The 24,823-nt window shown below is 40.6% G+C and overlaps 1 protein-coding gene across 7 annotated transcripts in view, besides 3 other annotated features; it reads right to left on the bottom strand.

Moving 5' to 3' along the window:
- MAP2K6 (mitogen-activated protein kinase kinase 6) overlaps nt 1-24,823 on the bottom strand; it is a 139,169-nt gene that overhangs the window by 41,683 nt on the left and 72,663 nt on the right. For 2 of the 7 annotated variants that reach the window (NM_002758.4, XM_047436411.1), the window contains exon 2: nt 6,337-6,403. In NM_002758.4, coding sequence (NP_002749.2) covers nt 6,337-6,403 — 67 coding nt within the window. Of the gene's footprint in view, nt 1-6,336; nt 6,404-7,296; nt 7,565-7,603; nt 7,725-7,919; nt 8,005-9,497; nt 9,922-9,963; nt 10,007-24,823 lie in introns of those variants that run through there. The other 5 variants (XM_047436410.1, XM_011525027.4, NM_001330450.2 and 2 more) reach the window with 5 other exon arrangements.
- Nucleotides 5,345-5,846: an enhancer, noted in NCBI's record as "NANOG hESC enhancer chr17:67502478-67502979 (GRCh37/hg19 assembly coordinates)". NCBI's record gives its function as "activates a minimal SCP1, AML or CMV promoter by ChIP-STARR-seq in primed H9 embryonic stem cells {active_cell/tissue: H9 hESC(primed)}" and the evidence as "EXISTENCE:reporter gene assay evidence [ECO:0000049][PMID:30033119]".
- Nucleotides 8,041-8,100: an enhancer, noted in NCBI's record as "active region_12656". NCBI's record gives its function as "activates an Ori minimal core promoter by ATAC-STARR-seq in GM12878 lymphoblastoid cells {active_cell/tissue: GM12878}" and the evidence as "EXISTENCE:reporter gene assay evidence [ECO:0000049][PMID:35858748]".
- Nucleotides 8,171-8,220: an enhancer, noted in NCBI's record as "active region_12655". NCBI's record gives its function as "activates an Ori minimal core promoter by ATAC-STARR-seq in GM12878 lymphoblastoid cells {active_cell/tissue: GM12878}" and the evidence as "EXISTENCE:reporter gene assay evidence [ECO:0000049][PMID:35858748]".

Raw genomic sequence — 24,823 nt, 5'->3', positions numbered from 1 at the left:
TACATAATTGAGAGTCAGAGATTCCTGAGCTTATATGCCAGTTCTTCCACCGAGAAGCTGTGTGATAATACTAACTTGGAGTTACCTTTCATTGAGCAATTGCAATGCACCAGGCACTACACTAGACACTCATATGGATTATGACATCTAATCCTCATGACAGCAACATCACTGTTATTCCTGAGTTTTGTTTGTTTGTTTTTTGAGATGGAGTCTCACTCTGTCATCTAGGCTGGAGTGCAATGGCACGATCTCGGCTCATTGCAACCTCTCCCTCCTGGGTTCAAGCGCTTCTCCTGTCTCAGCCTCCCAAGAAGCTGGGATTACAGGTGCCCGCCACCACGCCCAGCTAATTTTTTGTATTTTTAGAAAAGGAAACTAAGGCTTAGCGCAGTTAGGTATTTTGCCTAAGATATTCAACTAGTGAAGTTTAGATCCCAAATATAAACCTAAGTGTTCTGGCTCCAGACCCTGAACTCTTACCCATGAAGCTATGCTCAACAGCTTGGAGCAATGCACCTGACCGTTGCATCGTTCTGTTTGTTCACATGTCAAGTGAGAGTAACAAACACTGCCTCTGAGTTTCTTGTGGTGGTTAAATGAAATAATATGAACTAGCATCGAACTGATTTAGAATTGGTCACTATCAATCAAGGGAAGGGACAGCTCACACTGGCATCGGTAGCTCAAAGAAAGAGCTCAAACAGAGGGGCCACACACGTTGAACTCGGGAGAATGGAGCTTTGTCAAGGCCTATTTATTTTTGTGAAGCGCAGCAGAAGGAGGCAGGGTATGAATGGGAAGAAATCACCAAGCCAGCCTTCAAAAATTGCCAAGAAAAACACAAAATGTGGGAGCTACTTCTTTAGGAGTACAAATTTAAGCCTTGGCATTAAAGTAATAACAACGAGACTCTTTGAGCTACAGCGGTATACTCTACAATAATGAAGTGATACTTTTTGCTTCACACAGTGAAACAGATAAGTATATTCACAGTATACCTTATTAATACCATACGAGGGAAAATATAAACTGCTTTTATCCTTGTTTATACCAAGAAAGGGTTTATGGTAGCCTTCCGAAATTCATAAAATTTATAAAATTAACATATAATTTATGCTATAATGTAAACTAATATAAAAGGTAAAGAATAAAAATTGTAAGGGGAAGGGATGTAAGACTCCTGGCAGGTTGATGTAAGAATAAATCCCAAAGGAAATAGCAAAAATAAAAGCAGAAAGCAATAAAATTGAAAATAGGAAAATAAAACAAAGCTGGTTCTTCAGAAGAAAAAAAATCAATAAAGTTGATAAACCTCAAGCAAAATTGACAAATTTAACAAAAGAAGACACAAATTATCAGTATCAGGGAAAAAAAAAAAGGATGTCACAACAGATTGTGCAGCCATTTAAAGGATAGGCAGGAAACACTATGAACAATTTTACTCTCATAAATGTGACAACTTGGAAGAAATGGACCAACTCCTCAAAACCACATACTACCAAAACTCAGCCATGATGAAACAGATAATCTGAATAGTCCTATAACTACTAAAGAAATTGAGATTGTGATTAAAAAGTCCCAGAAAAAAAAAATCCAGGCTCATTTTCTTTCATTGGAGAATTTTAGCAAACATCCAAATAATTAGCACCAATATTATACAATGTCTACCAAAAAATAGAAGCAACACTTACCAATTCATTTTTATTAAGCCATTATTACCTTAATACTAAAACTAGAAAATAATAGCACAAGAGAAATAATAAATAAACCACCACAGACCAACATCTCCCAAAAGCCTAGAAACAAAAATCCTCAACAAAATTTTAGCAAATCGAATCCAACAATGCACAAAAATATATATACCATAACTAACTGGGATTCATTTGGGGTATGCAAAGCTAGCTGAGTACATAAAAATGAATCAACATAATCTACATATCGACAGATCAAAGAAGAAAAATCTTATGATCATATCAATTGATGCAGAGAAAGCATTCAACAAGATTCAATACCCATTCATAATAAAAGTTCTCAGGCAGGGCACGTTGGCTCGCGCCTGTAATCCCAGCACTTTGGGAGGGCCAAGGCAGGCAAATTGCTTGAGCCCATGAGTTCAAGACCAGCCTGGGCAACATGGCAAAACCCCGTCTCTACAAAACACAAAAAAAAATTAGCCGCGTGTGGTGGCATGTACCTGTAGTTCCACCTACTTTGGAGGCTGAGATGGGAGGATCACTTGAGCCAGGGGAGGCTGAGACTGCAGTGAGCCATGATCACACCTCTGCACTCCAGCCTGGGTGACAGAGTGAGACCCTGTCTCAAAAAAACAAAAACAAACAATCAAAAAGAACCTCTCAGTATACTGAGAGGTTTTATATAGTTGGGAACCTTTTCAACCTCATAAGTAACATCTACAAAAAACCTACAGTTCGCTTCATACTTAATAGTGAAAGACTAAATGCTTTCCCTCTAAGATGAGGAACAAAGCAAGTTTGCCTGCTCTCATGAACTTTATTAACCTAGGACTGGACATTCTTGCCACTTCAATAAGGCAAGAAAATGAAAGTAAAAATCAAAGTAAAGATTGGAAAAGAAAAAATAAAACAGTCTCCATTTACAGATGCCATGACTGTTTATATAGAAAACCCTAACGATTCGATGACAAGCTTCTAGAACTAATAAGTGATTTTAGTAAAGTCACAGAATAGAAGATCAATTGCAGAATCCACAGAATTCAAGATCAATACAGAAAAAATCTATTGCATTTCTATATACTGACAATGAACAAGTGAAAACCAAGTTCACAAATCAAATTCCACTTAAAATTTGCTCCAAAAAAAACTTAGGTATAAATTTTAACAAAATCTAATATAGAGGAATTGTATTATAAAAATGCTGATGAAAGAAATAAAATTTTTAAAGTTGAAGAAATATACCATGTTTGCAGATTGGAAGAACCAATGTAGTAAAAATGTCAATTTGCCCTAAATTGATCTATAGCTTAAACACAATTCCTACTAAAATCTCAGTAAGTTTCTCTGTGGACATAGATAAGCTTATTCTAAAACTTATATGAAAAGAGAAAGGCCTTTAGAATAGTCAACATAGTTCTGAAAGAGAACAGAGTGAGAGGAATCATGTTTCCCTGTTATGACTTACTCTACAGCTGTGGTAATCAAGACAATGTCATACTGGCAGAGGGAGAGACAAATAAATCAGTGGAACAGAATAAACAATGCGGAAATAACTTCAAACAAATATGCCCAATTGGTATTGACAAAGGAGCAGAAGCAATTCAATGGAGGAGGGATAGCCTTTTCAACAAATGGTGCTAGAATAATTGGTAACCCACTGGCCAAAAAAATAAAGCTCAACCTAAACTCATACCTTGAACAAAAATTAACTCAAAATGGACCATGGGCTTAAATGCAAAATGCAAAACTACAAAACTTCTAGACAGATCTAGGACTAGGCAAAGGGTTCTTAGACTTATTATCAAAAGCATGATCTGTAAAAGTAATAATTGATAAGTTGAACAAACTTTTGCTCTGTGAAAGACCCTGCTAAAAGCATAAAAAGACAAATTACAAACTGGGAAAAATATTTTCATATCACATATATATCGGACAAAGTCCTCGTGTCCAGAATATACAAATAACTCTCAAAAGTAAACAATAAAAAGTATCTAATTAGACAATGGGCAAAAGATATGCACAGACATTTCACCAAAAATATATAGATGGAAAATAAACACCTAAAAACATATTCTACATTATTAGCCACTAGAGAAATTGTAAATTAAAACTACATATAGGCTGGGCACAGTGGCTCACGCCTATAATCCCAGCACTTTGGGAGGCCAAGGCAGGTGGATCATCTAAGATCAGGAGTTCGAGACCAGCAGACCAGCCTGGCCAATATGGTGAAACCCCGTCTCTACCAAAAAAAGAAAAAAAAAAAATCAGCTGGGCATGGTGGCAGGCGCCTATAATCCCAGCTACTGGGGAAGCTGAGGCAGGAGAATCACCTGAAACCAGGGGGCAGAGGTTGCAGTGAGCCGAGATCACGCCATTGCACTGCAGCCTGGGCAACAAGAGCGAAACTCCGTCTCAAAAAAAAAAAAAAAAAAAAAAAAAAACTACATATATATCACTACACATCAGAATAGCTAAAATGAAAAACACTGATAATACCAATTGCTGGCAGAGATCCAGAAAAACTAGATTATTCGGACATTATTGCTGAGAACATAAAATGGTACAATTACTCTGGCCAATAGTTCAGCAGTTCTTTCAAAACTAAAGATGGGCTTACCATATAACCCAGCAATTGCACTATTGGGCTTACACCCCAGAGAAATGAAGACCTATTCTCATGCAGGAACTTATGCATAAATGCTCATAACAGCTTTATTCATAATAGCCAAAAATGGAAAACTACCCATATCTCCTTCAAAGGCTAAGGTGTTGAACCAACTGTGGTATAACCATACCATGGATGGGTACTTAGCAATAAAATGGAACAAACTATCAATACATGCAATTATTTACATGAACCTCAATAAAATTACATTGAACAAAAAAAAATCTCAAAAAGAGATGCATGATTTTGTTTATATAACAATCATGAAATAACAAAATGGCAAAGGAGAACAGATTAGCGGTTGCTGGGGATTAAGGACGGAGATGGGGAGAAGAGGTGGGTTTGATTATAAGAGGGGAGCATAAAAGAGTCTTGTAATGTTGCTGTAGTGAAGTATCTTGATTATAATAGTACTTATGCAAGACTTACACAATGTGATAAACTTTATAGAGCTACACGTGCACACACACACACACACACACACAAAGGAATACTTGCATAGCTGGCAAAATTAAGTTCTATGATTTGCACTACTGCCACATTCTTGATCTTGATAATGTATTATAGTTGTGTAAGATGTTAACTTGGGATGGCGGGGGAGTTTGGCATGGCCTGGGGAAAGGGATCTATGGGACTTCCCTGTACGTTTCTTTGCAACCTCCTGTTAATCTACAATTATTTCAAAATAAAAAGTTTTAAAAGTATATCCCATAAATTCCTATACAGGTAGTAAAAGTAGGCCACATATTTGACTGTAAGCTCTTGAGAAACCAGTCAGAGAGGAAACAATAGTAATTACACAGTTCACAGGTCTACGAGAAAAAGAAATTGCTCAGAGAGACCGAAAAAAAAAGAAAAAAAAAAGAGAAAAAGAAAACAATCTTGACAGCAAGTATGGGAAGACGGATCTTCCTCCTGCAGATTCTAATGAAAGGAACATTCTATCTTGAGTTTAGACTCTTGAGCTACAGTCCAGAACCCTGAAGAGTAGCCCTCAACTCTACTTTGTCCTTAAAAATTCTCCAGTGGAAAGTGTCTGTATACTGCTTCACGCAATGCAAGGACCAGTGGCTTTAACAAAGTCTTACAGCAGACATGATCCCATTTAAGAACACATTCCAACACTAGGGGTGCACTTCCTGATAGCAGATCATAGCTAAGATCAAAACCCATCACAAAGGGAGGCACTTTTGTAGACATGAACAAAAGCCTTACCAACTCACTTTTCCATTAGGATGCCCTCTCTTTGCCCTTGCCCTGTCTCTCTAACACCTCTATTGTGAGTTTCCTTGGAATTTCCATTCCTCTCATGCAGATGCCTTGGTAGGTGGTTGTACCTCCAGCTGGACAGGAAGTACCGTTCCCACCACACAGAGACAGATAAAAAATAAAAATAAAAAAAAAAAAAACAAGAAGGAGACATCCTCACAGAGAGGATGTCATTTACACGATGTCCTTCACTAGGACTTGAGCTGACTTAGGGATTTGGGCCAAAACCTCAGCTAATAAAAAAAAAGTGTTCCTTTACCTCATTCTTCCTTCTGTTTATATGGGACAGAATTTAAGTGTCAGGATGTGGGTCCTCACCAAATACCATCTTTCCATCTCAACCCAAGTTTTATAGTAGTGGCTTTCACAGGGATTTGCCTGTTTGCTCCAATCTACAGGGAAAAGGCAAGGAAGTTCACATCCAGGGGCCTTTCTGGCCTTACATAGAGCCCCATCTGCCAAATATATGTGACATTCACTTCCTACTCAACCAATAACTTAAGACACTGAGTTCAAAACTACCCATTCAACGTAACTGACTGATAAGATGACTATTTCAGGTCTCAGAACAGTGAGCAAATGGCTTCCCCCTTAAAGGGCTCTTCTAAAGTCAAGGCATTGCTCAGCAGTCCAAAAATAAACCCCCAGGAGGAATCTGAAAGCACAAGGATTTGGATTCAGATGATGGTCTTGTCAACTTACGTGGAACTGGTCTGAGGTTGTTCAAATGCTTCTTTTGGAATTTTAAGGCCAGGGTTTCGCTTCTTGCCTATGGGGAAAGACAAAAGGAAAAAGTTAAGGACTAAATCATAGCAAGATAGCAGAGAAAGAGACTGCGGCAAAGGAAAGAGCTGACCTGCACAGGCAGCTCTCATGTCTCCATTCAAAGCGCCACTTCCTACCCAGGAAGTCTGTGAGTGTTAAGAACCCAAGCACCAGGTAGGACAGAGCTTCTCAAATACAGACTGTGGTCATGAATGAGGTTTTTCATTAGTCCAGGGGGCAAACATCAGGATGAGAATGCCAACTCTCTTTTCCTAGGAAGATCTGCCCTTTCTCCCCACTGAGAATTTGTCATTGCAACTTTTTTTTTTTTTTTTTTTTTTGAGACAGAGTCTCACTCTGTCACCCAGGCTGGAGTACAGTGGCACAATCTCAGCCCACTGCAACTTCTGCCTCCTGGATTCAAGCGATTCTCCTACCTCAGCCTCCTGAGGAGCTGGGATTACAGGCATGCACCACCATGCCCGGCTAATTTTTATATTTTTAGTAGAGATGGGGGTTTCTCCCTGTTGGCCAGGCTGGTCTCGAACTCCTGACCTCAGGTGATCCGCTGACCTTGGTCTCCCAAAGTGCTGGGATTACAGGCATGAGCCACCATGCCTGGCCTTGTTTTTTGTTTTTGTTTTTTTTTTCTTTTACACTATAATGGTGATGGCAGACACTTGGTTATAGCTTTTTTTTTTTCTTTTTAGTGTTAGTAAAGGGTGGTCACCCTTATCTTAGTAACCCACTATTTTCTAAATCGATCTGTTAACTACTACAAAGTTAGCAATGGAAGTAGAATAAAAAATGCTTTTCCACTGTTCTGCCCTCCCCTTTTCCCAACCACCTGCTGTAATTTGAAAAACTTAAGAGAGGGATAGAGTAATACTTATTTACATTTTCCCTGTTCCAGAAAGGATTAAGATAACAGATGAGCTTATGCAAGGAAGTTATAACTTCTTCTTGGGCCAAATGGAAAGGTAACTTGATGTTGATCACACCTGGGCTGAAATTACAAGAGAATTTGGCTCGAATACTTTTGTTGATGAGTAAAAAAGAACAGACTGAGAAATGCCAGCTCAGGAAGCAGAACAGAGCAAACAAGGGCCTGGGGTTTTCCTCATGCATGGAGATCCTGTGTCTCTTTGCACTTGGCAGGGGAAACCAAGGGAGAGCTGCATAGAATGGCTGGAAAGAATGCTACCTTCTGCCCAGGCGCGGTGGCTCATGCCTGTAGTCCCAGCACTTTGGGAGGCCGAGACGGGCGAATCACGAGGTCAGGAGATGGAGACCATCCTGGCCGACACGGTGAAATCCTGTCTCTACTAAAAATACAATAAATTAGCCGGGCATGGTGGCAGGCACCTGTAGTCCCAGCTACAGGGGAGGCTGAGGCAGGAGAATGGCGTGAACCTGGGAGGCGGAGCTTGCAGTGAGCTGAGATCACACCACTGCACTCCAGCCTGGGCGACAGTGCAAGACTCTGTCTCAAAAAAAAAAAGAAAAAAAAAGAATCCTACCTCCTTTCCCACCTCTTCTCTACATTGCAGATGAGCACTCAGAGATAACACAAGCCCTGGATATGGCCCTGGATAGATCCTGAAGCTGCAAAGAAACTTAAACCAATTAAAATAACCTCCTTGCAGAAAAATAACATCCAAAGACTTCAGTGACTTGCTCCACATCACAGAGGTCAGCAATGACCCAGTCAGAATCAGAATCCAGGTCTCCTGACACCCAGGTGGGAGTTCTTTCTACTATCCTGCAATAGAAGACGTTTAGAGATGACTGGAGAGGGGGCAGGTGAGACGTACCCGGGATTTTGAGTTTTAAAATACCCAGCTGACATCTGGTTCTTCCACGCATCACGCAACTTCTAGAATCACTTTTCATCTGACTCTCAGTTTTCTCAATTGTAAAATGAGGAAGTAACAACCATACTCACCTCACTGGACTGATATGAGAATCAAAGCAGATAACATATATGAAAAAACATTAAGATACCTTAAGTAGCTGTTAATTAGATTCATTTAGGGAAACAATCAGTACTGTCTCATTTTTTTTAAAGTCATTTAAAAAATTAATGAAGAGAACTGGCCACATCATTATAGCCCACTATAATGTATAATGAAATTTTTCAATTCCTTCAGAATCCAAAATCAGATCAATTCTGCCAAGTTGTATATAGCCAGGAAAAAATATGCTTCGCAGTAATCAGCCTAGAGAAAGCCTTTTAGGACCACCTTCAGAATAAGAGGCTTTCTCAATTCTCTCCTCATTTGGGTTTACTTATGTATTTTATAAGGTTCAAAACTCACCATTCACTTTCCTGCTCTTGGAACTCAAACAGCTGTTAAGGATGTTACTAAATTAGTCAGTTATTGACATCGCATAGAGCTTTCCTATGTACCAGGAACTATGCTAGGTGCTGGACCCAGTTATGAGAATCCAAATAGATATATGGCCTAATTCCAACAATTCCCATCCATGCACCTCAGCCAAACAGACAGGGAATGTTACTTTCGATGAGATTCTTCAGTGAGGAATGAATGACGGATTCAACTTGTTTAGATAACTATACAGATAACTACATACAAATTCCAGTGCAGGTGACAGATAATTCAGGTAATCCCAAAAGGCGACCCTACAGTTCTCTCAACGAAAACAAAAACTAAAGTAACATATATTTTGCCTATGAAAACTGGTCTCCAGTTGTCATTTAAGCAAACCAAAAGCAGAAGTTACTCTTAAATTCCTACATCTTTCTCTTCTTTACCTCTAACTCAGTTCTTACAAGATAGATGTAAAGAGAAATAGCTATTTATTGAGAAAACCCCTTTGGAAAACTTTAATATAGCAAGTAATTAGTAGCAATTCTTAACAGCAATTAATTATTACACCATAACTTAAATCACCAAAACATCTATACAAAGAAACAGTAAAAAAGAGAGAAAGTTTTTAGCACAGAGACCAAAGGAATAAAAGACCAAAATAATAGTAAAGTCTTCCAAGTGGGAGGAGAAGGCCTTTGATTCTCTCCCCAGATCACTGTTACACCCAGCCACCCCCACAGCCCCCCACATCAACATCATTCTTACCCTGAATTTACTGCCTCCTAGTTGAAATTGCCAGCCTCCTGTCTCCAGACTCTAAACCCTTGACTATGTATATAAGTTGGACATCTGCATATCTTAAACCTAATATTTCCAAGTATATCAGCTCCTCAGAACAACAAGAAAAAAAAATAGATCCAGGAGACACAAAACCTAGTTGAATTACAGTGTTAGAAAATACTCTGCCTTCACGTTTACATCAAATAAAATACAAATCACAAGCACACACAGCAACACTCTGCAGTTCGCTTACTTGCCCATCTCTGACAGAGCAGCACAGTAAGAGACCAGCAGAGGCGACTCTGGTGAGGTTTTCGAGGCTGCAAGGAAGACCAGCAGAGGAAAACCTAACAGAAGTCATTCTTCACTTAGCTCCAAAGACCACACTTCGGCAAGGAGAAACAGAACTGAACAGACTCCACCCCCTCCTCAAGTTCGGATTGCAGCAAACCTCTGCAAGCTCATTGTTCCGAGGAAATTGCAGCTTCAGGAAGGGAGAAGGGAAGTGGGTCTATGTGGACACCCAGGCGTGACATTAATCATTAACCAGACTTGGAGGAATAAATCTATAAATCTGGACAGTACCATGTTCTGCAGCTTTTCTATAAATGCCTCTTTGATTTCTTAAAAGAAAGAAAAACAATATGTGGTCAGTTTCCAGCTGTGTTTACTTCACAGCAATCTGTTCCCCCAGGAAGGCAGCCAACACCTGACGCTAACATTGAACACTGTTAAAAAAAAAAAAAAAAAAACATGGGAGGGAGCACTATGAATAATAAAGCTAAGTGGCCAACTATGTTCAACAGTCTTTGCCTTTGATATTCTAAAGCAAAGCAGAAAAAATGTCAGAAAAAAAAAAAGGCTTTCTATGATGTCATATGCTAGCAACAAGCCTTCTCGGAAACAGAGAATTCTGTAGATTTCTGCAGATCGCAACAAGCCTCGACTGCTTATTGGCACAGTCTGCAAAGGGTAAGCCTCGTCGGCCTGATTGGGCATATGCAGCACTATATTGCATCAGACCCTGTTACCCGCATGACTGTGTTCTCTGAAAATAGTGTAATCCCACCACACACATATATTTGCAAAATTCATCTGAAACCAAAGCAAAGCTGGGTCATTATAATCCTGGCCTGGAGCAAAATGGCACTGGAAAAAAAAATTTAAAAAGCCTTGCCAATAGTTAGAAAATATTTACCAGGCCACAGAAATGTTCGCTAGCTTTGACTGCACCGAAAATGATGGGGTACACGAGAGGTCTTGCACACACTCTGAGAGGGTAAGCACAAAGCACTCCTCTGATGTTCCTCATTACATAAAACAGAAGATTATGTTCCACTGCCAACCCAAACAGCATGAGAAGCCCACGCGGTCAACAGAAGGTGGCATCGTGAAGATATGCTGATGCCTAAATATTTGTTAGCTTGGCCGAGGGTTGGGGGCACGACTATGAGAGTTTATGATTATTGACACAGCTTCACAAAAGGATGGCAGTGTTTCCAGTGCCAAATTTATTTTAAAAATCTGTTTCCCAATATGAATGGGATTTCCAGCCAAGTAACTGGCAATCTAGAGGCCTTGGCTGCCCTCTCCTTACTACTTGCATCTAGGCTTACGTTCCAAGGGTAGTTGGCAATAAAACCAGCAGTGAAGTATCATTCAGTGTTATTAAATTGCAATCATCATATGCAAAGCAACGAACGAAGCAGGGCAGGGGAAGAGGCATGCAGGAAGAAAGCTGGCTTTGCAACAGCAATGTAAAAGTGAACAGGGACTCTGCCATCCTCCAATCTTCCAAAACCACTGGCTCTTATATACCACTGAGATTCCAAACACTGAAGACAAATCTCTCTGGAATTACAGAAAGTTTAGAGAAGAAAAGCTGAAAACCTCTTTTTTTTTTTCTTTTTTTTTTGAGATGGAATCTTGCTCTGTCACCCAGCCTGGAGTACAGTGGCACAATGTCAGCTCACTGCAACCTCCGCCTCCCGGCTTTGTGTGATTCTCCTGCCTCAGCCTCCTGAGTAGCTGGGATTACAGGTGCCCGCCATCACGCCCAACTAATTGTTGTATTTTTTAGTACAGATGGGGTTTCACCATGTTGGTCAGGCTGGTCTTGAACTCCTGACCTCGTGATCCACCTGCCTCAGCCTCCCAAAGTGCTGGGATTATAGGCGTGAGCCACCATGGCCGGCCTTTTTTTTTTTTTTTTTTTTTTTTTTTGAGACAGAGTCTCACTTTGTCACCCAGGCTGGAGTGCAGTGGTCCTATCTAGGCTCACCGAAACCTCTGCTTCCCACGTTCAAGCAATTCTCATGGCCCTCAGCCTCCCGAGTAGCTGCGACTGGGAATACAGGCACGTGCCACCCCACCCGCCTAATTTTTGTATTTTTAGTAGAGATGGGGTTTCGCCATGTTGACCAGGCTAATCTCAAACTTCTGACCTCAGGTTATCCGCCCGCCTTAGCCTCCCAAAGTGCTGTTACTGGGATTACAGGTGTGAGCCACTGTGCCCAGCTGAAAAGCTCATTTTAAAACCTGCAGTCAGTTTGATTTCAGAGTCAGAATGAATCTCCTAAGACCTTACCTTTGCTCATACTGTTCCTTCTACCTGGAGGGCTCTAGCTGTCTTGCAGACAAGAACTCAACCTTCCAAATTCAAAACCTCCCTCATAGAACCTTCCCAGAGCTTCCTGAACACAATCTAAGGATTACTATCCACACATTCCTGCTTTCACATTCTGGCACCTTACACTCAGCCTGCAACACAATATGAGCTCAAAGCAGCTTCCCTGAAACTTTGATATTTTAGTTGAAAAATGTCCACTCTCTCTACAATAGATCTCCACGACCATCTTCCACTCATTTCCCGCAAACCTTTTCTCACAATCTAGAATTATTTTATTTTTGTATTTATTTATTTACTTCTGCATTTATTTATTACTTGTTTATCTACCTTTCTCCACTAGAATATAAGTTCCATGATGGCCAATGATTTTGCCCAGCACCTGCACATCATAAATATTTGTTGACTGAATGTTTGTTATTCTTTTCTCAACTGTTTTGAACATTTGTACAGAGCTCTTCAAAAAACAAACAAACAAAATGAACAACCAAGAATGGAATGGAAATTGCACAAACCTCTGCATCAATAAGAATCATTTCAAATCCCAGCTGTCCCACTTAGTGACGTAATGTTGAGAAAGTTTCTTATCTTAAACTGAGTTTCCACACCTGCAAACTGGAGATGATGTACAATCTCCGCAGGTCATTAAGAGACTCGATTGACACAGTGTGTGTGAAGAAGCCTAGCAGGGTGTAGCATAATATAGGTGCTCAATAAATACTTCCTTTTGTCCCTTCCATGTTTACGCTTACATTTTTAAAATATGAGTTAAGCAGAATGTTCCCTGGATGGCATCTTATTTCTTCAAATTCCGTGCTCCATTCTCCCTCTTTCGTGTTATTTACACTAGAATTACATTTTTCAAACATCTCATCAATCTTGAATCTACCTCTCTTTGTGCCCACTGACTATGGGAACTTCTCCAGGTCTATAGACTCAGGATTTCTGGGACTGAGTGTAGTGAGTGCTTATAATTTTACATTGCCTCAGTATCCATTTTTAAACCTAAGTTAAACTATCTCACATCAGAAGCAGGGCTCAGTCACTCTTAACACGGTGTCTAATACCACACTCCACCAGATTGGCTCCAAACCAGTGGCCAGACATGAAACTTAGAGACATCTCTCCTGCCTAGCAGGCTGGCCTCCCTACTTTCCTGCCACTCCCTTTAAACAGACCATGCAGACATTTGCCCACAAACGTAAGGTGACCACCTCTCAGTCACGCTGTGACCTCCTAGAACTAGTGCCTGCTTGCTTTAAACCCAGCAATTAAAGCTCCCTGCAGGAAACTGGATAACGCCCTGTACCCAATAAAGACATTGGCTCAGTGGTCCCTTCTCTCTCTCTCTGCGTGCACGTGTGTGTGTGTGTGTGTGTGTGTGTGTGTGTGTGGCTTCCAGGTGTGTGTGTGTGGCTTCCAGGCGTGCTGGGTGCCATACAGAGTCTCTAAGTGCTAAAAAGTCTTAAAATCTCACATTGTAGTTGTGTCACTGAAGCCACACTTGCAATCCTATCCCTATGGGTGAAACTGCCCCAAAAGGACCCATGCAGGTGGGTCCCCTGCTGATGCCCTTTTGTCCAGGTCTCTCAGCTACTGGGGACAGTAGTTACCAGCTAAGTTGATAGAGTGAGGCTTCAGGATCCATATATTTTTTTAAGTTTCACAAGTGTCTGAGAAATCAGCCACAGTTAAGTAGCCCTTGTCTACCACATGTCTATGTAAAGTTGTTTTGTGTTTGTTTGTTTGTTTGTTTGTCTTGTTTTACCATTTCTCACTTTATGTTGCCAACGTCACTTTCCTCCAAGGCTCTTGTCACATCCCCCACAACCCACCAGTTCTTTCTGATTAGTAAGAATTAAATTCCAAGCTAGCTCCTCACTGTGTTATCTCTATCTTTGAGCTGAAATTGTCAATCATTCCCCAGGGTACACATTGCAAGGGTCAAAACTTATTAAGATGCAATTCTGCCATCGAAGCATCAGGAGATATGAAAACCCAACTCCATAATAACAGCGGGTATGTGTGATGTGCAATACAAGCATTGCACCCTGAAAGCAGGAGAGAAGAAGCAAGACAAGCAACACTGAGAAATGGTCTCACATACGAAGTGGTATTTGAAGTGGCCCTTTGATTTTGGTAGGATTTAAGGGTACCTGAGGGTTTGTTATACTGTATGTCTTCTTTATATATTTAAATATTTCCAAAATCAAAGTTTAAAAAGACCATGGGTGGGATTTTGACAATCAAGACTTGGAGAGACAATAAGGGGATTCAAAGTAAAATGAGGATGAAATATCTTTGTAAGGAGAAGCACTGTGGTATATTCAAAGAATTCTGAGTTTTCTACTCTGGACAAACTGAAAAGTGGTGGAGAGAGAAACCTGGAGGAGGAAGTTGGAGTCAGAGATCAAAATACTGTAACAAATATATTTTAAATTTCAGATGTAAAAAGAGAAGTCATGTATGTTTTTCAGTAGAGGAACATCATGCCACATCCATGCTTCAGAAAAAAAAAAAGATGTAACAAGATGAACTGATCTAATAATATCAGGATGTTTTGAAACTGTGCTACACACACACTCATGCATAAACCCACATACTCTCATGCCTTGATGTTTTATGCCTCCAGGTCTTTGCTCTTATTTTCCTCAGAATGTTGTTATTACCTGTTTTCCCCAGTCAACTGCGACACTCAGCTCAAGTATGTTTTTCTCCAGGAAGTCTTCCATGAAAGTCCCCAATGCAATAAATACCTTTCCTCTGTGTTGCCACAGTACCCTGAACCTTCCTATGCTGATTAAGTGAACCCATCTGTTCATCCATGTCTTCCACTAAAAATGCAAGCCCTTTGAAGTCAGGGCCCATGTCTTCTTACCTATGTACAGAGTTTAAGCACTAGACCCAAAAATAAGAGGTAGAGACCACAGCAATCTGGCTCACAAATAAGCTGCTTGAATTTTGCAGAGGCAAAATCTATAGGCTCTGGTCACTTACTGCATAAGAGGAACAAAGGAACAGAAGCATAGTAGTAGTACTGGAAGTAGTAATAGTAATAGTAGAAGTATTGCTACTAGTAATAGTAGTGGTAATAAAAATGATACTCGTCATCTGGCTTTTCCACCCCCAAATGAAGTTAAGTGAAAGAGGAAAGTCAGGTCAGTGGGGGTGGCCAGTGGGGAAAGGGCAGATCATGAGTTCCAAGTCAGATGTATTAAGTATAAGATGCTGCAGGGACGGGACGCATGGCAGAATTCAAGCAGGCAAATGGAGCTTAAGAGAGGGACAGGAGGAAATGAGTAGATCTGGGAATGACAAACAGAGAGGTAGAAAGTTGCCTGAGACAGACAGGGAAACAAGAAGAATGAAAGAAGGTGGCCAGGTGCGGTGCCTTATGCCTGTAATCCCAGCACTTTGGGAGGCCAAGGTGGGCGGATCACTTTAGGTCAGGAGTTCGAGACCAGCCTGGCCAACGTGGTGAAACCCCATCTCTACTAAAAATACAAAAAATTAGCCGGGCGTGGGGCACACGCCTGTAATCCCAGCTACTCCGGAGGCTGAGGCGGGAGAATCGCTGGAACCCCATCTCTACTAAAAGTACAAAAAATTAGCCGGGTGTGGGGCACACGCTTGTAATCCCAGCTACTCTGGAGGCTGAGGCGGGAGAATCGCTGGAACCCGGGAGGCAGAGGTTGCAGTGAGCCGAGATCGCACCACTGCACTCCAGCCTGGGAGACAGAGCAAGACTCCCTCTCAAAAAAAAAAAAAAAGAAGGGAAGGCAGCCAGCCAAGCTAAGAACATTTCGAAGAATCGGTGAAGGACACAAAGAATTACGTTCCTGTCAAAGAAGAATGAGCCAGCCTGTCCATCCGCTAATTGGGAAATGGCCCCATTTTAAGAGAATAAAAGTGCTCAAATGGGTTTTATTACAGCTTCATGTGATTAAAGCTAAAAAAAAAAAAGTCCTAGTAGACCTTTTATGTCATGTTAACAATTTGGTGTTGACTAAGATGTTCTTAAAAGAACCTAAAAGCAAATCACAGCCAATGCCCTGAGTTATGTTCTAGGCCCAGGGAAAAGGCAGGAGGCAGGCAGTAGGGAACTCCTACTGTCTCGGTTCATCTCCTTCCTCATTTATGGGCTGCTTCACTCATTAGCATTGATCGCAAGGAAATGTAGTCATAAGGGTGTTAAAAACATCACTTTAAAATAAAAAATGGCAATGGGTTGCAAAGAAATTTAGTGGCGTGCTCGAGCTTTTCAAAATACACACTGGGTTTTGGTTAGGTTTTAAAAAATAAGTATTTTTTTTTTAGAGATAATACTGAAATGTTTACGAGTGAAATGATATTATTCTAGAATTTGCTTCAAAAAAAAAGGCAGAGTGGGGGATAGAGATACAGATAAAATAGGATTGGCCATGAGCTGGTCATTGTCAAAGCTGAGTGCTAGATACCTGGCAGTTATAATACAGTCCACTTTTGAATATGTTTGAAATTTACCAAAATAGCCAGGCGCAGTAGCTCAAGCCTGTAATTCCAGCACTTTGGGAGGCTGAGGCGAGTGGATCACCTGAGGTCTGGAGTTTGAGACCACCCTGGCCAACATGGTGAAACCCTGTCTCTATTAAAAATACAACAATTAGCTGGGCGTGTTGGTGGGCGCCTGTAGTCCCAGCTACTTGGGAGGCTGAGGCAGGGGAATCACTTGAACCTGGAAGGTGGAGGCAGTGAGCCGAAGTCTCGCCACTGCACTCCAGCTTGGGCGACAAGAGCGAGACTCCAGCTCAAAAAAAAAATAAATAAAAGAAAAAATAAAACGAAATTTACCAATATATAAAGATGTTCTTAAATAGTAACAGAATCACAGAAAATTCTGTTTTAATAGTTAAAAGAGTGGCATAGCGAATAAGAGGGGTGAATTTGTTGTTTTTTTTTTTTTTTTTATGTGGAAGTAATGGATTCTTTTTTTCCTCTGGTCCAAGACCACAATTTTGGGTTTTTGTTTTGTTTTGTTTTTTGGTTTTTGGTTTTTTTTCTAGACAGAGTTTCGCTCTTGTTGCCCAGGCTGGAGTGCAATGTCGCGATCTCGGCTCACGGCAACCTCCACCTCCCAGGTTCAAGCGATGCTCCTATCTCAGCCTCCCGAGTAGCTGGGATTACAGAAGTGCGCCACCATGCCCGGCTAATTTTGTATTTTTAGTAGAAACAGGGTTTCGCCATGTTGGCCAGGCTGGTCTCGAATTCCTGACCTCAGGTGATCCACCCGCCCCAGCCTCCCAAAGTGCTGGGATTACAGGCATGAGCCACCACGCCCGGCCCACAATTTTAATAGCACTCTGATCACCTCCCTTTTAACCAAAGGAAACTCCAAGATAGTAACTTTAATTCAACCAGCTGCTTGAAGACTAAGGGGGTAATAAAGAAACAAAGGAACGTTCTTCATCTGCAACTCCTCCCCTAGAATGCTATCAGTACAGGGTCTTATTTCCCTTTTAATCCAGGGGCTCTCCATTCATTTTGTTTTTTCCTTTCTTTTTTTTTTTAAAGACAGAGTCTCACTTTGTCACCCAGGCTGGAGTGCAGTGGCACGACCTTGGCTCACAGCAACCTCTGCCTCCTGGGTACAAGCGATTTTCATGCCCCAGCCTCCCAAGTAGCTGAGATTACAGGCATGTGCCACCATGCCCAGCTAATTTTTGTATTTTTAGTAGAGATGAGGTTTTACCGTGTTGGCCAGGCTGGTCACAAACTCTCGGCCTCAGGTGATCTGCCCGCCTTGGCCTCCCAACATGCTGGGATTACAGGCGTGAGCCACTGCACCTGACCTCCCTCCATTTCTTTTTGCCTCTCCCTTTCCTCTCCTCCTGCAACTTCATGCAATTATTTTGTTGAAGAAATGCAGGCCATGTGTCCTGTAGTTTTTTCCACTGGATTCTGCTGCTCTTATCCCTTGTTATTGACTCACACATCCCTCTGTTGGTTAGAAATTGATCAGATTCAACTTGATCAGATTGTTTGGCAAGACTACTTTGCAGGTGGCCTCACTTACTTTTAATTTATGCTAAATTGCTTAATTTTATGCAACCTAGCAAGCTAACTTAAACTCTTAATGAAAAAAGGAAAAATGAATAAATATAAATAATCCCTCAGCAAATTAACATTTTCATCTCTGTCAATTTGATGGGTACAAGGGTACAAGGGGTGTCTCATTGTTTTGAATCACATTTTAAAAATATTTAATGAAGCTGAGTATACATATATTTTTTTTTTTCTTTTTTCTTGAGATGGAGTTTCACTCTGTCCCCCAGGCTGGACTGCAATGGCACGATCTCAGCTCATTGCAACCTCTGTCTCCCGGGTTCAAGAAATTCTCCTTTCTCAGCCTCCCAAGTAGCTGGGACTATAGACGTACACCACCATGCCCAGCTTATTTTTGTATTTTTAGTAGAGACGGGGTTTCGCCATGCTGGCCAGGCTGATCTCAAACTCCTGACCTCAGGTGATCTGCCTGCCTCAGCCTCCCAAAGTGCTGGGATTACAGGCGTGAGACACCACGCCCAGCTGCAGCTGAGTATTTTTTATATATCCACTGTCATCTGTATTCATTTTTCTGTGAACTCCCTGTTCAAGTCATCTGCTCGTTTTTATAACAGGTTATTATTATTGTTTTCTTTGTAAAAGAAGGCATTGCCCCTTTTGTAGTTAGTGTTGCAACACACACACACACACACACAAACACATACACTGTTTTTTTTCCTTTTTGGTTATATAAAATTTTAAATTTTTACATTCTTTTATGTTCTCTGCATTTTCATAAGGTAAAAACATTCTTTCCGCTTCCCCAATGGCTAGATAGTTCTTCCAATATCACCTATTAATCTGTCTACTTGTTTCCAAATGAATTGTACACAACTTTTTAATATTTAAGCCTCTTATTCTTTTGTATAAGTTCATTGGCTGACATGTCCAAAACATATATGAAATATTCATGTAGACATCTTCATTTGATCCTCACTTTAAGAGAATTCTTTCTTGCTTTTCACAATTAAAAAAAAATGATGCTGGCTTTGGATTCAGCTGAATAGACCAACTGAATGATTTTTCTCATGTTGAGGAGGTATATCACTCTTTTCATTTTACTGAGTGGGCTAGGCTGAGGATGGTTCCCAAGTTCATGCCCATATCCTAATCCATGCAACCTATGAATGTTATCATGATAATTTTTTGCAGATGTGATTAAATTAAGGCTTTTGAGATGAGAAGATGAGCCTAAATTATCCAGGTGGGACTTAAATGCAATCAGAAGTGTCCTTACACAGAGGGGCAGAGGGAGAGTAGACACACCCAGAGAGGAGAAGGAGAGGCGAAGGCTGAGTCAGAGACTTTGGTGATGCAGCTGCAATGTAAGGAATGCCAAAGGCCAGCAGCCACCACAGGCATGGATCCTCTCCCAGAGCCTCTGGAGGGAGCCTGACATGCCAATACCTTCACTGTAGACTTCTGGCCTCCAGATGTCAGAGAAAAAATTTCTGGTGTTTTAACGGGACAGAATACAGAGCCCAGAAATAAGGCTGCACACCTACAACCATCTGATCTTCGACAAAGTGGACAAAAACAAACACTGGGGAAAGGACTCCCTATCCAATAAAAGGTGCCGGAATAACTAGCTAGCTATATGCAGAAGGTTGAAACTGGATCCCTTCCTTATACCATATACGAAAACCAACTCCAGAGGGATTAAAGATTTAAATGTAAAACCCAAAACTATAAAAACCCTGGAAGACAACCTAGGCACTACCACTCAGCCATAGGAATGGGCAAAGATTTCATAATGAAGATGCCAAAAGCAACTGCAATAAAAGCAAAAATTGACAAACAGGATCTAATTAAACTAAAGAGCATCTGCACAGCTAAAGAAATTATGAATAAACAGACAACCTACAGAACGGGAAAAAATTTTTGCAAACTATGCATCTGACAGAGGTCTCATATCCAGCATCTATAAGGAACTTAAACACATTTACAAGAAAAAAGCAAACAGCCCCATTAAAAAGTGGGCAAAGGACACAAACAGACACTTTTCAAAAGAAGATATACATGTGGCTAACAAGCATGTGAAAAAAAGCTCATCACTGATCATTAAAACCACAGTGAAATAACATCTCAGACCAGTCCGAATCAAATCAAAACCACGGTGAAATAACATCTCAGACCAGTCTGAATCAAATCAAAACCACGGTGAAATAACATCTCAGACCAGTCTGAAAGTCTATTATTCAAAAGTGAATAATAATAATAATAATAATAATAACAGATGCCAGCGAGGTTGCAGAGAAAAAGGAATGCTTATACATTGTTGGTGGGAGTGTAACTCAGTTCAACTATTGTGGAAAGCAGTGTGGCTATTCCTCAAAGAGCTAAAAACAGAACTACCATTTGACCCAGCAATGCCATTACTGGGTCTATATCCAGAGGAATAGAAATCATTCTACCATAAAGACACATACACATATATGTTCACTGCAGCACTATTCACAATAGCAGAGACGTGGAATCAATCCAAATGCCCATCAATGATAGACTGGATAAGAAAATGTGGGCCGGGCACAGTGGCTCACACCTGTAATCCCAGCACTTTGGGAAGCCAAGGCGGGCAGAATAGTTGAGGTCAGGAGTTCAAGACCAGCCTGGCCAACATGGTGAAACCACGTCTCTACTAAAAATACAAAAATTAGCCGGGCGTGGTGGCACGTGCCTGTAATCCCAGCTACTCAGGAGGCTGAGGCAGGAGAATTGCTTGAACCCTGGAGACAGAGGTTGCAGTGAGCCAAGATGGTGCCATTGCACTCCAGCCTGGGCGATAGAGTGAGACTCCGTCAAAAAAAAGAAGGAAGGAGGGAAGGAAGAAAGGAAGGAAGGAAGGAAGGAAGGAAAAAAGACAATGTGGTACATATACACCACGAAGTACTATGCAGCCATAAAAAAAGAACGAGATCACATCCTTTGCAGGAATATGGGTGGAGCTGGAGGATATTATCTTTAGCAAACTAATACAGAAAGAGAAAACCAGATTATCTCATGTTCTCACTTATATAAATGAGAACTAAATGATGAGAACACACGGACACATGAGGGAACAACACACACTGGGGCCTATCAGAGGGTGGAAGGAGGGGGAGGGAGAGGATCAGGAAAAATAACTAATGGGTACTAGGCTTAATACTTGGGTAATGAAATAATCTGTACAACAAATCCCCATGACACAAGTCTACCTATATAACAAACCTGCACATGTACCCCTGAACGTAAAACAAAACTTAAAAAAAAAAAATTCAGGGGTTTTAAACCACCAAGTTTGTGGTAATTTGTTACAGCAGCTACAGAAAATTATTAAATAATATGCTGTTATCAGAAATGGACAATGAATTTTGTCAAATTTTCTTCCAACATTTATTGAAATAATGCAGCATCCTTCCTGCCACACCCACACTGCCACACTCTCTAACAAATGTATTTCTTGCTTTTCCCATGCTCTTCTCTTCCTTTCCCTACCCCACTTTCACTCTCTTGCCTTCTTAACTCCTGTAGCATTTGGCCTTCAGAAGCATCTTGTGATCCTGCATTGCTAGTGGCGACAGAAACAAAGAACTGGCTAATCCCTGGACTCAAGAAACATCTACAGAGTCTCCATTTGACAATATAAGAAGGCAAAACAACCAAAGTTGAGAAATTAACTGCAAACTATAAAGAATGGATATTAGCAGAGGAGTCCCCTCCTGCTCTTCAGTGGAGCAAGGAAGGAGGAGAGGCTGACCCCCTTCCAGGTCTTTCTAACTCAACGCCATCTTGGAGGAAAAAGCATAAGGAAGAAATGCAGCTCTTTCCCCAGGCCTGAAATTCCTCATGAATTCTGAAACTCTTCATGTTCCCTACCAACAAGAAACAAGAGGGTAAAGAAACCGCGGCCAAAATAATAGAAAATATATGGCAAGATTCTTTACCCTGTAACTCAAATCCTGCAACCTGGAAAACCTCAGTTTAATCCTTTGCCCCATGGCTGTTTCTGCAATGTCTAGTTACCTTTCTTTCCAGAGAAGCTGGACGTTTGTGAGAGTCATGTTTTGCAAACCATAGCCTAGCAAAAGAACACAGTAGCCTTTGCCTTTTGTTCGGCTACATACTTTCCTGGCTTAGCGCATTTCCCACTGGTGACACTTCTGGCTAAGGGTTCGTGATGCCCAATTAAAAAGCAAAGACAAAGAAATTGCTTCAAGAAAATCAAAAAATTTAAATCTGAGATTTTCTAAAAAGAGAACGCTAATCTACAAAAACTAACAACTTATTTTCAAAGTACTGTAGTTTGGTTCATGCAAGTGTACTCATTTCAATATTAACTAGTTCAGATCCTCACGTAACCCTTAAAGTGAAAATTCCACAGTCCTATAGAAAGATTTAAACTCTAACTTTTTAACTCCTGAAGAAATAATCATTACCGTAATTAACAACTATTGCTTCAGGCAATGCCATAACTCAGGGTGTCAAAAGAAGTGGAGTTCTGTAGTCTTAGGTAATAAGTCTGGAAATTGTTCCAGGCAGTCACCTTGAAATATCTAAATCAGTTAATTGCGAAGACTGAGCACAAGAAAAAGTATATAAATTCTCTATTGTACCAGAACAATGTTCCACCTATGTGATCACAGAAATGTGGGTGAAACGTATTAGAGTAAATATGTTCCATGTAGTCTCATATACACTGTAACCTATGCAATGTTCCCAAACTTATTTTATTTTTCCTTTTTTCCTTTTTTTTTTTTTTTTTTTGAGACAGAGTTTCACTCTTGTTGCCCAGGCCGGAGTGCAATGGCGCAATCTCAGCTCACTGCAACCTCCATCTCCCAGGTTCAAGTGATTCTCCTGCCTCAGCCTCCTGAGTAGCTGGGATTACAGGCATGCACCACCATACCTGGCTAATTTTGTATTTTTACTAGAGACGGGGTTTCACCATATTGGTCAGGCTGGTCTCGAACTCCTGACCTCAGGTGATCCACCCACCTCAGCCTCCCAAAGTGCTGGGATTACAGGCATGAGCCACCACACTCAGCCTTATTTTATTTCTATAACTGCAGTTTTTATTTTAGATTCAGGAGGTACATGTGCAGGTTTGTTACATGGGTATATTTTATGATGCTGAGGTTTGGACTGATCTCATCACCCAGGTAGTGAATACAGTATCCAACAGTTAGTTATGCAACCCTTTCTCCCCTCCCTCCTTCAAGCTTCTACTAGTCTCCAGGGTCTATTGTTGCCATCTTTATGTCCACGAGTACCGAAGTGGACATAAGTGTTTAGCTCCCACTTCTAAGTGAGAGCATGCAGTACTCGCTTTTCTGTTCCTGCACTGACTTGCTTGCCTCCATGTTCCTGCAAAGAACATGCTTTTGTTCTTTTTTATAGCTGAATAGTATTTCACGGTGTATATGTACCACATTTTCTTTATCCAGTCTATTACTGATGGGCATTTAGGTTGAGTCCATGTCTTTACTACTGTGAATAGTGCTGCAAGGAACATATGTGGGCATGTGTCTTTTTGGTAGAACAATTTTTTTCTTTTGGATATATACCCAGCAATGGGATTGCTAGGTCAAATGGTAGCTCTGTTTTAAGTTCTTGGGGACATTCTCAAACTGCTCTCCAGAGTGGCTGAACTAATTTACGTTCCCACTAATAATGTATAAGCATTTCTTCTTCTCTACAGCCTCACCAGCATCTCATTTTTTGACTTTTTAATAATAACCATTCTCACTGTCTCATTGTGGTATTGATTTGCATTTCTCTGATGATTAGTGATGTGGAGCATTTTTTTGTATGTCTTCTTTTGAGAAGTGTCTGTTCATGTCTTTTGCCCACTTTTTAATGAGGTTATTTGTTTTTTGCTTGTTGAATTAAGTTTCTTATAGATTTTAGATATTAAACCTTTGTTGGATGCATTGTTTGAGAATATTTCCTCCCATTCTGTAGGTTGTCTGTTTACTCTAGTGTTAGTTTCTTTTGCTATACAGAAGCTCTTTAATTCCCAAACTGATTTTAATGGCTAATCAAAAATATGAGGAGGTAATTTGTAATATTTCCTGCATACAGTAATTTCATAAGATTTTCTTTAAGTTGTAGGTTTTTATTGGATTGATTTTAAGTAAATATTATTGATGGAAATTCTCACAAGTCTTCATTATTGGGAAGCAGAATTAAAGACTGAAGGAAGTACCCACTCATATCTATACAAAGTCAGATGATTTTAAAGTCTCCAACAAAGTTATATGTAGTAAATTGGAAAACAACACAACAAGACCCTGTGAAAAAGAGACCTAGTGGGAAAGGACCAAGCCCGTCATTAGCAGTGAAAACTTGGGATGTTATTAATGTAAGCCTCACCCTTAAAATGGGAAAACCAATATCTACCTTGGTGGCATTAAAGGAGCAAATCAATATAGGCTGTGATGCTCAATAAATATGTCTGGGATAAATGAACGCTGTAAGTTACCCATCAGCTACACTGCCGTTTCTGGCAGGTACCTTCTTATTAACAAGTGGTTGCTCATGAGAATAATAATAGCACCTAGAATTTATTGCGTATGTGTTACATGCAAGGCACAGTTCTCAGCATTTCACACGAATTGCTTAATTT

This window comes from Homo sapiens, chromosome 17 (genome assembly GCF_000001405.40).
Source record: "Homo sapiens chromosome 17, GRCh38.p14 Primary Assembly".
Taxonomy (NCBI): Eukaryota; Metazoa; Chordata; class Mammalia; order Primates; family Hominidae; genus Homo; species Homo sapiens.
Note: the sequence above shows the minus strand (reverse complement) of the source record. Positions and strands in the feature narration are given on the sequence as shown.